Source organism: Homo sapiens, chromosome 11 (genome assembly GCF_000001405.40).
Source record: "Homo sapiens chromosome 11, GRCh38.p14 Primary Assembly".
Lineage (NCBI taxonomy): Eukaryota > Metazoa > Chordata > Mammalia > Primates > Hominidae > Homo > Homo sapiens.
The window spans coordinates 80,413,199-80,428,660 of record NC_000011.10 but is presented as its reverse complement, the minus strand read 5'-3'; positions in this window follow the sequence as shown (position 1 = coordinate 80,428,660).

The window sequence follows — 15,462 nt, the reverse complement described above, 5'->3', positions numbered from 1 at the left end:
TTTTGTTCTTGTGATAGTTTACTGAGAATGATGATTTCCAATTTCATCCATGTCCCTACAAAGGACATGAACTCATCATTTTTTATGGCTGCATAGTATTCCATGGTGTATATGTGTCACATTTTCTTAATCCAGTCTATCATTGTTGGACATTTGGGTTGGTTCCAAGTCTTTGCTATTGTGAATACTGCCGCAATAAACATACGTGTGCATGTGTCTTTATAGCAGCATGATTTATAGTCCTTTGGGTATATACCCAGTAATGGGATGGCTGGGTCAAATGGTATTTCCGGTTCTAGATCCCTGAGGAGTCGCCACACTGACTTCCATAATGGTTGAACTAGGATAACAAATACTAAACTCGATCCTGCTTGAGAATCTCAGAGTATGGTCAGAGCTATCAAACTCATAAATTTGAGAAGTGCTAAAAATCTTATTTTTGATTTGCTTATGGACACAGTTGTCTTACTCAGAAATTGAGCTTATAAAACAGCTGAATGCATGATCTTTGGAATCAGAAGTACCTTGGTGCTTGTGTTTGTTAGGTTTTTGAGACTGAGCAAGACAATGCGCTGAACTTTGACTTTCTAAATTACCGTACAAAAGGAAAGTAAAACGCCATTTGGACTAAGAAACCAAGAAACCTGAAGCCAACCTGGCATCTTTCGGTGAAGGGATGCTGAGACAAATTCGCTTTCTTGCCATGAAGAACATATGCCTTTATTTCTGGTATACAGAAGTAGCCAGTTAATCTTTTCACTATCCTTTGTTTCCATCTGCTATGTAAGATGCAAATATAGCTACTAGAGTAGGATATGTTATCTCTTGGGGAAAATAGATATATTTTCCCCAAATTTGAGTTTTATATACAGTGAGTGAACTAGAATTTCCATAGCTTGTTATATCAAATAGACACAAAGCCATGGACTGGTTGATCCCTTTTGACTCTGATTCTTAGGAGGCCCCTTGATCTGATTCTTCTGGAGAGAAGAAGCAAATGAAACTCTGCTGTTGATACTGTGCTTGGATGGTGGATGATAGGTAGAGAGGGATATTTTGTAGCTTCCTGAAATTTCTTTTTCTTGTGACCCTTCTGGAGAACTTCAGAATAGTAAAATAGGGCATTAGATAGACCAACCTGTGGTCTAATCCAGTTTCAGTGACTTGTTAGCCTTATGACTCGGGGCCTCTTATTTGTTATATTACAATGTCTACCTCACAGGATTGTCATGAGGATTAAATGAGAAAATGTTTCCACAGTGTCTAGTAAAGTATTTAGCATACTGTCTTTTATTCATTTATTTAAAACATGTTTTAATGGCTTTTTCTTTAGTTTGAATATGATATTCTAAAAAGTTTCCCAAAAGATGTATGAGTATAGAGACAAATAGTGAATGTTCTCCCCAGACATCTTGCAGAATTCTGGGTGTTCGTCAGTGGAGACAGACAGTGGGCCCCGTGTCCATAGTGTTCACGCTCTGGTAGAAGACACAGATGTAAACACACTTTAATTCTAAATTGATAAGAGCTGCAAGAAAATGGATAGGTCCTCTGATCGTTTGCAAGGGGGCTAGATAACCTGTTCTGCTCAGGAATACGGTGGAATCAGCTAAGTTTAATCTGAAGAAAAGAAAGAAGTTTGAGTAGGAAAATAAAGATCCCGGGATGCTGGGCCTTCTAGGCAGTGCTGAGACCCAAGTGCATATGGGTATAAGCTTCATCGAGGCATGTGAGTGTGTTCCTGATCCTCAATAATTCAACAGAAGTGAACCCAAGACAAATGAACATTCTTCATTCCTGCATGTACATTTAGCCCTGATTATCTTTCTTTTTTTTAAATTATTTTTAATTATTATACTTTAAGTTCTAGGGTACGTGTGCACAACGTGCAGGTTTGTTACATATGTATACATGTGCCATATTGGTGTGCTGCACCCATTAACTCGTCATTTACATTAGGTATATCTCCTAATGCTATCCCTCCCCCCTCCCCCCACCCCACGACAGGCCCCAGTGTGTGATGTTCCCCTTCCTGTGTCCATGTGTTCTCATTGTTGAATTCCCACCTATGAGTGAGAACATGTGGTGTTTGGTTTTCTGTCCTTGTGATAGTTTGCTGAGAATGATGGTTTCCAGCTTCATCCATGTCCCTACGAAGGACATGAACTCATCCTTTTTTATGGCTGCATAGTATTCCATGGTGTATATGTGCCACATTTTCTTAATCCAGTCTATCATTGCTGGACATTTGGGTTGGTTCCAAGTCTTCACTATTGTGAATAGTGCCGCAATAAACATATGTGTGCATGTGTCTTTATAGCAGCATGATTTATAATCCTTTGGGTATATACCCAGTAATGAGATGGCTGGGTCAAATGGTATTTCTAGTTCCAGATCCTTGCGGAATCGCCACACTGTCTTCCATAATGGTTGAACTAGCTTACAGTCCCACCAACAGTGTAAAAGTATTCCTATTTCTCCACATCCTCTCCAGCACCTGTTGTTTCCTGCCTTTATAATGATTGCCATTCTAACTGGTGTGAGATGGTATCTCATTGTGGTTTTGATTTGGATTTCTCTGATGGCCAGTGATTAGCCCTGATTATCTTTCTCCTTTCTTAATTATATGAATAGATTTTCGGATTAAATAAGGTAGATATTTTATTTGTTTTCTCTGTCATTTACATGGTTGTCCAGAGATAGATTGACCACAATGATGAAGGCCTGGAATAATTCCATTTTGTCTTCTATATTATTTTGGTGTTTTGTTTCATGGGCAGATGCCTCATTATGTAACATAGTAGTTATAGATCTAGTCATTACTTCAACTTTCCAGTCAGCAGGAAAAAAAAAAATTGGAAAGAAGAACATTTCACCTCTTTTAAAAGGCTTTTTTTTTTCACAAATAACTCATCTATGTACAAAGGAGGATAAATGCATTGTGTATTTCAAGTGTTCCCACATTTTAGATGGGATCCCTGGAGAGCATAAAAGTTAAATCATGTGACCAAGGACACACAGCTAGTAAATGTCAGGGTTCATGTTCACATGCAAGCATTGTTAGCTCCAAATCCCCCTCTCTAAAGCACCAGTCCACACTGCCTCTCCTCGGGACCTGCTAAGATGGTAATACTTGTGTTAAGTTTTGAAAGATGAATAGGGAGCAGATCACTTAAAGAAATTGGAGAGAAGGGCATCTCTGGACGAAAACAACATCATGTGCAAAGGAAAGAAGGACTCAGGGTGCTCATCTATAAATGGAAAAGTTTATATCTTTTCTCACTGGGCTGTTCTGAATCAGTGAGATCAAGTGGGTAAGAGCTCATGTCCCAGTGCCTGCCTTTGAAATCACTCATTGAAACTATGTTCAGAACAAAAGCCAAAAGCATATCCGTGAAAGATTACACAACAGCCTGTAGGATATACTAACCTTCTGTTAGGGGACAGCATAATTAAGGTTGTGTTAATGATGTAAGTGTTGATTTTACCAAAGCATTTGATGCGGTCTCTTTTAAAAATTTAATTGGAGACTTAATTCTAGTTGTCTCCTACATGAATTGAAAGATGGCCTGAGGAGAGCAATATAGGAAAACTCACACCAGCAATATGTTAACTGTAGAAAGGTATCTAAATGGAGGACTACAGTGATTTTTTATTGTATTTATTATCCTTAGAATTTATCTGCATGGATGACTTAGTGCAGACAAAATTTTGGTCACTTAAAATCACCAAACCTATATGAAGGATGCTAACGGGCAGAACTTCACTTTTTACCACCTCTATCTAATATTAGCCCAGTTGAGCAAAGTTTATCATATTTACCCTAGGGTTTAGAACCTTTCCTGCCTGCAGCTGTCTCAGCCATACATTTGAGCACAGAATCCTAGAAGCTGAATCTGTCTTAGAGACCAATGCATTCAGGTCATTGTTTTATAGGTGGTCTCACCTGAGTTCCAGAAAAAGTAAGTAACTTCTCAAACATCACATGGGATCATTCAGGTTGGGACAATAGCGTAGTCTTTGGGTCTTTAAATTGTAGGCAAATCAAGAGATATAAGACCAGAAGTAAAGATTTTTTTTTTTTTATCACAGTCAAGGGCTGTTATAACATTTCAGAAGTAAACAGCTGGAAAGCCCCAAGGATGTGAAACCATGAACAATGAGCAGAAGATAATCTTGAGAAACACATATTTAAGTTGTCTTTATCTTTGTCCTTATGATATTTAAAATATCCCCTACTTTCATGTACATTCCAATGCATTATGGCCATTTCTTTATTTGTGTTGCTGACCCTCCTCTTCTGTCCTGGTTATCTTTCATTTGCCCCTCCAGACCCAATGTTCACCTTTCTCCACCCTGCTCTGGTTCCCAGGAGACTGTCAGGTATGCATTTCCCTTGTCTTTCAATGTTGGTTTGGGTTCAGCTAGTGGTCAGCACTGGCAGGAGGTGTGAGAGTAGGTGAAGAGTAAGGTCACATCACCATGGTTACCTATATCCCACACTGTTAGCCACTCTCTACTGCACAGCCCTCCCCACATAGCTCCCCTCTCCAGGGTCTAGGAGCATTCCTTCCACTTGTCTATTCATGGGTGGTAAAGACTCCTCAGGGTTACTAGCATTGATAAACTGCACTGTCTCGGGTTAGTTTCCTTAAAACCATTAAATAGCCCTTTATTTAAACTCTCCTTAAATTATACAGTTTGAAGGCACCATGTTCTTCCTGCCAGGACCCTTGCTGATACAGCTGATAACCTTGATATACCCTCCTGAAACAATGTGATGTTTCTTTCTAAATGAAGTATAAAGTTTTGAAAATATATTTAACTTTATTTTAATACACCACACATTAATTTACAAGTATCATTTCTCTCGATGTATTTATTTTCACATTCTGGTACATGTTTATACCTCATAACTGTTTCTTGATTAAAATTTGTAAATTCAATTAATTAATATATAGTCTGACTGTCCAAATAACTTGAGCCAGATACTGCATCTAGGAGCTTTTCCCTTCATTAGTTCATATTGTCTTCAAAATACTCGTAAAATATATATTATACTTTCTATTTTATGAAGCTGAGTCCTTTCTGGGCAGGTTAAGTGACTTTTCTAAGTCTGCAGATCTGAAAATGGTGCCAACATCAAACCATTTAGCAAATAAACAGCTACCAGAATGACCTATAAAGAGTGACTAGCTTTTTAGAACTTCATCAGCAATATTAGAAAGAATACTCATTTTTCCCTCTGTAATAAGAGCTGTAAAGGGAGCAGGAGGAGAAAAATCTATTACATTAATATGTATGTACAAACTTCAGATGAAAAAGCTTCAGTGAAATGTTTTAAGTGATACATATGGGATGAAGAGAAGCTTTTTATCCATTTGTGGAAAATATATAGATGGAAGCAGCTTGATGGCTAAGAAGGGGTTCCAGGTTTGACCTCAGGACACTGGCGAGATGGATATATTTGGGAAATATGTTTAATAATTTTCAGTCATAGATTAATCACCTCTCCTTGAGATGTCTGTATGGCCTTCTAGACTGTTAACTCAAGGACAGGATCTATTTCTCATTTAATTTAGTATTTGCCTACTTAGCCCTCTCTACTAAGCATGAAATGAGTACCAGGAACTTGATTAGGAATATACATTATATATATATATATTTCTTATTATATATACATTATATATATATATATATTTCTTATTATATATATAAAATATATACTCCTTGATTAGGAATATATATTATATATATTTATATATGTAATATATAAGGAATAATTGTATATATTATATATTTATATATAATATATATTCATATAATATATATTGTATATAAGGAAAATATATATATATAATATATATATTATATATAAGTTCCTGGTACTCATTTTCAAAGAAAAAGAGATATACATATATATATAATATATATTAGGAATCTATATATATTTCTTTTTCTTTTTTCATATTATCCCCATGTATTGTTATTGAAATTCAGTGTTATAATTCTTGCTATAGTCTGAATGTTTGTGCTCCCACCAAAAAAAAAATGCATGTGTTGAAACCTAAGCTCCAAGGTGATGATATTAAGAGATCAGGCTTTTGGAAGGTAATTAGATCACGAAAGCCCTTTCCTCACCAATGGGAATAGCGCCTTTATAAAAGAAGTCAAAGGGAACTTGTTTGTCCCTTTCGCCACGTGAGGATTCACTGAGAAGGTGCTACCTTTGAAGCAGAGAGCGATCCCACACCAGACCCTGAATCTGCTGGTGCCTTGATTATGGACTTCCAAGCCTGCCGAAGTGTGAACAATGAATTTATGTTATTTGTGAATCATCCAGTGTAAGGTATTTAGTTACAGCATCCCATAGAAACTAAGACGGTCCTCTTTCTTTTATTTTAAATAGATAAAAACTAGAAGCTCAGGAATTCTCTATACTGCACAGGGTCCAATTAATAGCAAGAGTGAAATTGCTTTATGTTGAGTAAATATATACCTAACCTAGCCTTATTATCACCTTTTTTGTTTCCATATTTGGATTTGTGTACAACTTTCCAAGGAAATTTGTATAGAGAACATGATTTAGTTGTGTGGCTATTCTCAAGAAGTCAGGAAATTTGGTATTCCATTTACTTGAAATATATCAGTAATTCAACTCTCATACATCCAGTCACCTAGTCAAGCAACAGACGTTAGACATGAATTAGGTCTTAATCCCCATTGCAAAATGACAACCATTGATTTTTTTTTTAAATGAGGATTCAAGAAGCATATTCAATGGCCCGCTTGTTACATTTCAATGATGAGTGAACAGCTTAGCACCAGCATAGAGAAGTGTTCCTTGCAATAAATGAGAAAGGAAGAAAGCTGTTTTTTCCCCCAGCTGACCATTGGTATGAGCTCAGTCAGCATTAGTATCACATTCGCATAGCATCTTGCAAATAATTTTGCCATATAGAGCATAAAACCTCTTTCCAATCCACCACACACAGATAGAAGGCAAAATAAAGTGAACAAGAGGAAAGGGCAAGATTATCTACTTTAAAAGTGGGAGAGATGTGTCTTCAGAATGTCTGACAAGTTAAACTAATCATGAAGTACCCTATAGTTCAAGGACTCAAAAGCTAATCTGTTGCTCCATCCTAGACCCAATGCTTACATAATTTCTTTTCTAAAGATAACTACATTATGGAAGAATAAACTTTAGCCCTGTTGCTGAAATTTCTTATCTAATTTTTCCTTTTTAAATAGAGACTGGGATAAAACTCCTTTGCTAGGATAAAAAAGAAAGAGCAGTATGATTGATAATTTTAAGCAATATACACATGGTATAAGTAGTTGTTTCAGAATAAAGTATTAGAAAACAGGAAAAATAGAATCACTCTTCAAGAGGCAAGGTGTTTTTTGAAACATTTATAAACCAGGTGGTTGCTGAATATGGATAAACATATATTCTTAGAATTAAGTCTTAGGTAGTCCTGGAAAAGTTTCAACCTCTCCTGCACCCCAACCCCATCTCTCTCTCTCTCCAGCCAACCTCTTTCTCTCTCTTTAATCTTTAAAATGAGGCTAATAACAATGTTGCCTTCCTAGGACTGTGGTGAAAATTAGGTGAGTTAATAAAAGTAAACCACATAAAATATAGATGATAAATGCCTCATAAAATTATTTTTATTATCACTATTGCTGTCATCACCATCATTTTTACAAGGAAATCTAGTAAGTAATATTTATCAGGAACTTATCATATGCTGGACCTCATACTAGATATTTTGTATATTACTGCACTAAATACTCAAATCAGTTGTGTAATAAGAGGCAGCATGGTAAAGCAGAAGATCACGGCTTTATAGCGAAAATATTGGGGTCCAGATTCTAGATCTGCCACTTATTCTAAACTATGTGACTTTGACAAATTGCTTAAAGTGACACGTTGGTGAGAGGACCTGTAAAACTGAAATAATAATAATTGTTGTGATGATGTACTGTTTGATGCCAGTGTCTATAAATATGTGCATGTATGAAAATACAGTCATGCATTACTTAATGATGGGAATACATTCTGAGAAATGCTGCATTGGGCCATTTCACTGTTGTGCAAACATCATAAAGTGTACTGACACAAACACAGATGGTATAGCCAGCTACACACCTAGGCTATGTGGTATCACATAGCCTATGGCTCCTGGTTAAAAATCTGTATAGCATGTTACTGTACCAAATAGTTTAGGCAGTTGTAACACAATAGTAAGTATTTGTGCATCTAAATATATCTAAGCATAGAAAAGATACAGTAAAAATATGATATAAAAGGTTTAAAAATGGTAAACCTGTATAAGGCATTTATATGAATGGAGCTGGCAGAACCGGAAATTGCTCTGGGAGGGTCGGTGAGTGAGTGGTGAGTGAATGTGAAGGCTTAAGACATAACTATACAATACTGTAGACTTCATAAACACTGTATGCTTAGACTACACTATGTTTATAAAAATAAATTTCTTTCTTCAATAATAAATTAATGTTAGCTTACTGTAATTTTTTTACTTTATAAACTTTTTAATATTTTTAACTCTTTGACTCCTTTGTAATAACACTTAGCTTAAACACAAATACATTGTGCAGTTGTACAAAAATATTTTCTTTCTTTATATCTTTTTTTATAAGCTTTTTCTATTTTTTAATTTTTTGTTTTTCATTTACATTTGAAATTTTTTTGTTAAAAATTAAGACACACCTACATTAGCCTAGCCATACACAGGGTAGGATAATCAATATCATTGTCTTCCACCTTTACATCTCATCCCACTAGAAGGCCTTCAGGGTCCATAATACATATTTAACTGTCATCTCCTATGATAACAATGCCTTCTTCTGGAATAGCCTGAGGCTGTTTTACAGTTAACTATTTAAAAAATAAATAAATTGAGTATACTCTAAAACAGTAATAAAATATAAATAGTGAATACATAAACCAGTAGCATGTAGTTTGTATTATTATCACTATGCACTGTACCTAATTGTATGTGCTATACTTTTACACCAGCATCACCACAAACATGTAAGTAATGTGTTGTGCTATGATATTACTATGGCTACCATGTCACCAGGCCATAGGAATTTTTCTGCTCCATTATGATCTTATGGGACCACTGTCATATCTGTGTTCCATCATCGACTGAAACATTATGTGGCACATGACTGTATGTATATAGTGTGTGTGTGTCTAAAAGTCATCCCTTACATTGTAGTTAATCATATTACTGTAATGACCTTATTATTAATATAATTGAGAAAAATGAGGTATAGAGAAAATTCATGCTATGCCTACATTCATAAAAAGCTGCGGAGGCAAAATTCCAGGCCAGGTTCATATAAGTTTCATGGCCTTTGCTTTCTTTACTACATAACAATGACTCAGACGGTATATTTGCAGACTATAAGATTCAACACAGAATGAAGTAAAGAAAAGGTTAATGGATAGCCTAAACTAATTTAACTTTCACTGATCCCAATTTAAATTCAAATTGCTTTAATTTGGTTATCTTTGATCGCTTATAATCTTTGAGCCGCCATTGTTTTATGTGACTTTCTTGTACACAAACCCACTTATTATTTCACCAATCCAAAGAGGAGGTAATACATACTTAGTTTATAAGTTTTGTTTAACAAACTTATTAATACGTAAGTCTAGATATTCAACATTCTCATTTTAGCTACAATTTCTAGAAAAAAATAGCACATAAAAGTAGGGGGAGAGTTCTATAATAATAAAAATATCTAGTATCTACATTGGTCTTAATATATACTCACCCTGTTCTAAGCATTTTACATGTATTAGTTCATTTAATTCTCACAAGAGCATTATGAGGTAGATACTGTTTCCCTTCCCATTTTACAGACAAGGCTACGGAGAGAGATATAAGTACCTTGTCCGAGATCACAAACCTGGTAAGTGGTTGAGCTAGATCCTGAACCTAGACAGTGAAGCTTCAGAGTTTATGTTCTAAATGTGCCAATTTTTAAGGAAAGTAGGCTATGCCTTTCTTAATTATTTCTAAAACTTAGTTCTACTGCATCGTTATAGCTGTCATTATTTTAATTCTGTTTGACTGTTATTTACTGGGCATCTTCTAGGAGCAAAGTATAGCCAATCACACCAGAATAGAGAAAAATAACAGTGCTACTTAAGGACTTGGGAAAGATGGATATGTAAACAAAGGGATAAATTTCAGAAGAATCAAAATTCCCAATCCCAGGCCTTCTTTGCCTTCTGTATTCTGCACCATTGGGAAAAAAAATCTATTTTGAAAAGCTGTATGCTTTCAACTAAAACAAAAATTGATTGGAAGCTTTCCTTCGTTTTTATTTTGGTAAGATACATTTGAGTCAAAATCAATACCCAGAAGAGCTCCAAAGAGAAAGAGATGTTCTCTGGGTACAAAATTCGTGAAGGAGTAATTCATTCCAGTGACAGTGAAACAGTCTCTGAGTGCAGCTTTTAGCAATTCAGCTTGTTGCAAAACCTTTTCAAAAGAGTACAGGGTTTCAAGAGAACCTCAGAGAGGGGGAAAAAAAAAAAACAAAACCCAATTTATAAGTCACAGCTTTATCATAGGCAAATTCTCAATCCCTTTTTCCCTCCAGAGTTGAATCAATTGATTTGTAACCTGCTAAATACAAATAATTTCTCCTTCTATTCCCACAACAACCTCAAGTTTGGTAGCTGGGATTTAACCAAGTTGTATTACAGCATGGGGACTCAGCGGTGTCTCATCCATGCGTCTGGTGAGTCACTCTTTCTTTGTGTATCCCCTTGTTCTGTTCATCAGTGATGCCTGACCTCTTTTTGTCAACTATTTCATACTCTCCTAAACTTTGCTGCTAAGAGTCCATCCTCACAGGTACTACTGCCTTGATTATTCATTCCAGGATTCATTTGTTTTTTCATTATCCATTCATTAAACATTAATTAGTTGCCTACTATAGCAGACATTTCGCTAAGTAAGAAAAGTGCAGGAATGAACTAAAATACACAGTCAGTCTTGTAAAGCACAAAGTCATGGTGGCAGATAGATCAGTACAATAAGCAACTTAAGGATTTAATAAGCTGTATGGTGGAGAAGTATGTAGAGAGTTACAGGATGATAAGGGAAGGGTGCCTTATGCTGGTTTAGGGTTCACAGAAGACTCTTGTAGAGGGTAGCTCTTGAGCTAGGTTTTGGAGGATTAGCAGGAATTTTAAAAGCAAAAGAGAAGGTGAAGGACACTTCATGCAATGGGGTAGTATACGGAAAACATGGAGGTGGTGAGAAATGTAATTCTCTGAAGGCAAATTGAATTATACGGGAGAGTGAGGAAATCTCGAGAGACTGATACAAAGAATTACAGAGGAGTCTAGGCTTTGGCAGGGACTGGATCCTGGAGGGCTCTGTTCAAATCTGAGGTTTTAAACCTAAATTTGAAAGATGAAAAAATCATTGAAAAAATAATTACACCGAAGAGTGCCATGTTCAAAGTTTGCCTTGGAAATTTGCTTCTCCAGACCCCACTGCCATGAGTAGTGGCCTTGTGAGTGTGCACACTAGATTAAAAAGTAGACCTCCCCTTGAGTGCTAGCTCCATCTCTCATTACTGTGCAGTCTTAATCCACTACCTTAGCTTTTTAAGACCTTATTCCCTCATCTGTAAAATGTGAAAATCTTCTACTTCTTAGAAGTACTATAGTAATGAACTTATGTATTGCTTTTCAAGTGCCTTGTATTTGTGTATTCACTCAGTTACATAACATAGTGAGCACCTACCTTGTTCCAGGGACTTTTCTAGAGAATATAGTTGTGAACAATGAAAAGTTTCTATGCTCACGAACTAATATTCCTGCAGTGCCTGGCACATAGAAGGTATTCAATAATATATGATAAACAAGTATGCATTGTCAAGTTTCTTTCTCTTTCCAAATTTATAGTTAATATTTTGCCCTCATAGAACAAGGGAGACCCCGATGTTCCAATTTCATTAATGGTGTTTGCATATTGCTGTGGCATGGGTGAGATAGCCTGGGGGTTTTGCAAACATTTTAGAGCATTAGTTTCAACTATACTTCAATCTGCTTTACTTTTTCATAGTGCTTGTGATTCCCTGAAATCCCTGTCTTTCTTTATTGGCTTATATGTTAGTTATTTGTCTTCCATTACAAGCTCCATGAAGGCAGGTATGGTATCTGTCTTGTTTCCCACTGTATTCCCAGCACAGTGCCTAGCTTGTGATGGATTCTCAGTAAATACCTGTTGAATGTAAATACCTGTGGTCTCATTTCTGGCAGAATTTAATTGAAAAAAACTTTTCTAGAAGGAATTTAAGCAACAGATAAATGGTAGGATTAGAAGGCCCTAATGCTTCCTTTCTACCGAGAATGTTCTGATTCAAAATTGTCAACCTCTGAAGAAACGTCTTTACCTTTAACATTAATGCCACTCTTCTAGATACTCAAATGTTAGGAGTTGGGGGTATAATCTTCTAAAGTAGACTGAGTACATAAAATGAATTCTAGAGGAGGAAAGAAGCAAGAGTTAGATGGTAAATAGCAACATTAGTAATGCTAGGCCACCTTATATGTCCCTGCATGAAATCGAATTTTCATGGTTTATATGGAGAGTCTATCTGATATGCTTAACTACTTGTAAGCTGTTAATATTTGCATATCACCATGGAATATAGACTCTAGCAAGGTCATTTAACAGTTACAGGGCAGAAACTTTCCATTTTGTTAATCACTTACAACTCTAATTTCACACTACATCAGTCCTTTTACTCTGGTCCACAGCTCTTGAAAATCTCATTCTAAAAATCTACGGGAAAACATCTGTTCACAATGTGCTGGAAGTGGCACCATAGACACTCCCCTAAAGTCAGACTCTTAAGGACCGGAGTAATACTTTACTTGCACTATTTTTCTGATCTTCACTTATATCACTAGGAATTTCTTGTCCTTTCCCTTATCAGCTGTCTCCCATTTGCCATTTCTAAGTTTCATTTCAATCTGCCATCTGATGACTTCTTCATAGCTATTATTTATCAAATTTTTCCTTTCCGATTCTCAACTGTGCCTCTCAGTCCAAGGGCTCAGTAGTCTAGAAACAAGTCTGCAGTTATGATTTTCAACACTCTGTGAGACTCCCTACAGGTTAAACCATGGTTAAGATGCTTCCTAGATTTCAAACCAGTTACACACCCTAACGGACTTCCTCACAGAGAGAAAAAGTCAGAAAGAAAGAGGTCCAGAGGGCATGGGCCTCTTCCTGACATCATGCCCATTTGACTGACAAAGAACAAGTGCATGTTGAGTCTCATTTTCAATCCTTTAAAAATCTTATGAATTAGTGCAAGCTCAACACTCAGCCTTGACACGAGAATTAGGATACTGGCTATATTTTAGATGGGAAGCTTAGATATGATTTCTTTTTTAGAAGGCAAAACAACATGACAAACAAAGAGCTAAGCCAAGGAAATCAGACCTGTAAATTTGACCGTAAAGTCAATGAGTATCCCACTTTCATAACATTCAAATAAAGTAAAATGGCTTTGCACCCAGTTCTCACTGACATGTTGCTTCATCACTTTCGTTTTCTTTGCTTTGTTCACTGTCATAAGGCAGGGTCAAGGAAAGATGATTCATCTGAATCCTGTCAAAGTACATTTGTTGCCAGCTACAACATGGTTCTGATTCCACAATAATATCATGATGTAATCTGATTTTTAAACATAAATACTACCAGTTACCGATGAAATATGGATTATGAGAAAGCCATCAAACTAATGGAAAGGAGCCCATTCTTTCTTCTCTTCCTTCCTCTGAGCTTCTAATGTTTTTCATTAATTCTTGGCATGTGGGCCAATTTGCTCAGATCATATCACCATTGTTTGTGGAGTGTGACTGTATTAATTGAATTCTAAATTTCTACTATTGTGCAAGACGGTCCTTCTAATGAGGAATGAGAGCCAGATATAGAAGAGTTATAACCACTAAAATCAGAACATTGGCAATTAAATGCAAATGTAAAAAGCAAATATTTTGCAGCAGTTTTTAAAGCAGGGTTGTATAGTGATTTTGTTGCCCAAATACTGATTCATGGACAACTATGGCAAATGTTTGTTACTTCCTACTCAGTATAAAAGAGTGAAATAAGAGAAATAAGAAATGTGATAAGGTGAAGACACCAATCAAATTTGAGTCTCACTGTGAGGTCAGCACTCACAACCAACAGTAGTACTCAGATATCACAGCAATCATTTATGATGTCTTGAGCAACTGAGCAGAAAGTTGTTTCTCTTTCATGTTCGGGTTGCAAAATCTTTACTTAATAAATGATGAGTGGTAGAGTCTGAGACCAGGGGAGATATTTAAGCATGAGCGAGCTCCGTTTAATTTTTATTTTATATTGAAAAATATCCCCTCATCTCTAGAGATGAAAATAATTTTAAATCAAGTCTATACAGAAATGAAAAATACATTGAGCAGGAGAAGTAATGGTAGTCAAAAAAGTATGTGTTAAGTAGGATGGGAGAAAGGTAAAATGTGGAAAGCATGTACATGCAAGTTCCATTCAAACAAAGAAATTCTCTTAGGAAGTCTTCATAGGGTGGCTATGCATTTGCAGTTTCAAAGAAGATTGTGTCTCCTGGTGGGTAAAGAAAAAGAAAACAAAGAAACATGTGCTTGACATACACAATCACTTGCTGCCTCAGTTTTTGTCATTATTATCTTAATACACTATTTTCTCAATTGGAGTTTAATAAGGAGAGAATGTTACAAAAGGCACATTTAGATTCTACAGACATTTACTGAATATTGGTGCTGGGTCCTTTCCAATTCATTCTCTCACTTAATCCACACTTATGGCATATAGTGTGTATGTGCTGGTGGGGGGGCAAGTATCAACTTGATTTTACCTGTAAGGGAAACTTAGAAGCCTTGTATGCCAAGGACCATGTAGCTAGTGCTTGGCAAAGCTGAGTTCTAGGCCTTCTGGTTCTAAGATCCAGATTTTTTCTTGAAGGACAGTTGCCTCTCACTTGTCTCCATTTAATGACAATTTTATTCTGTCTGTTTCCTCATTTGCAAAATGGGATGAATATATATAGTTTCTGTAAGCATTATTATACCAACTGTATGGATGAAGAGATTGAAATATGGGGAGACCAGTACCTTGTGCAAGGTTAGATAAAGACAGAGTTGGGGTTTAAATGCAGGAGCTCAGCTTCAGAGTCCTTGCTCCTATCAGTAATATTGTTTCTTAGTATTTGATGCTACTCAGCACAAAATTTTCATGAGGATGAGGAGTTAACACAGTTTTTGTCAAGTAGATAAGGCTCAATAAGTAACTGTTATGGGTGTTGCTGTCCTCATCTTTATATTGACACTTGAATATGTATATATATTTTATAAAATATATAATTACATTT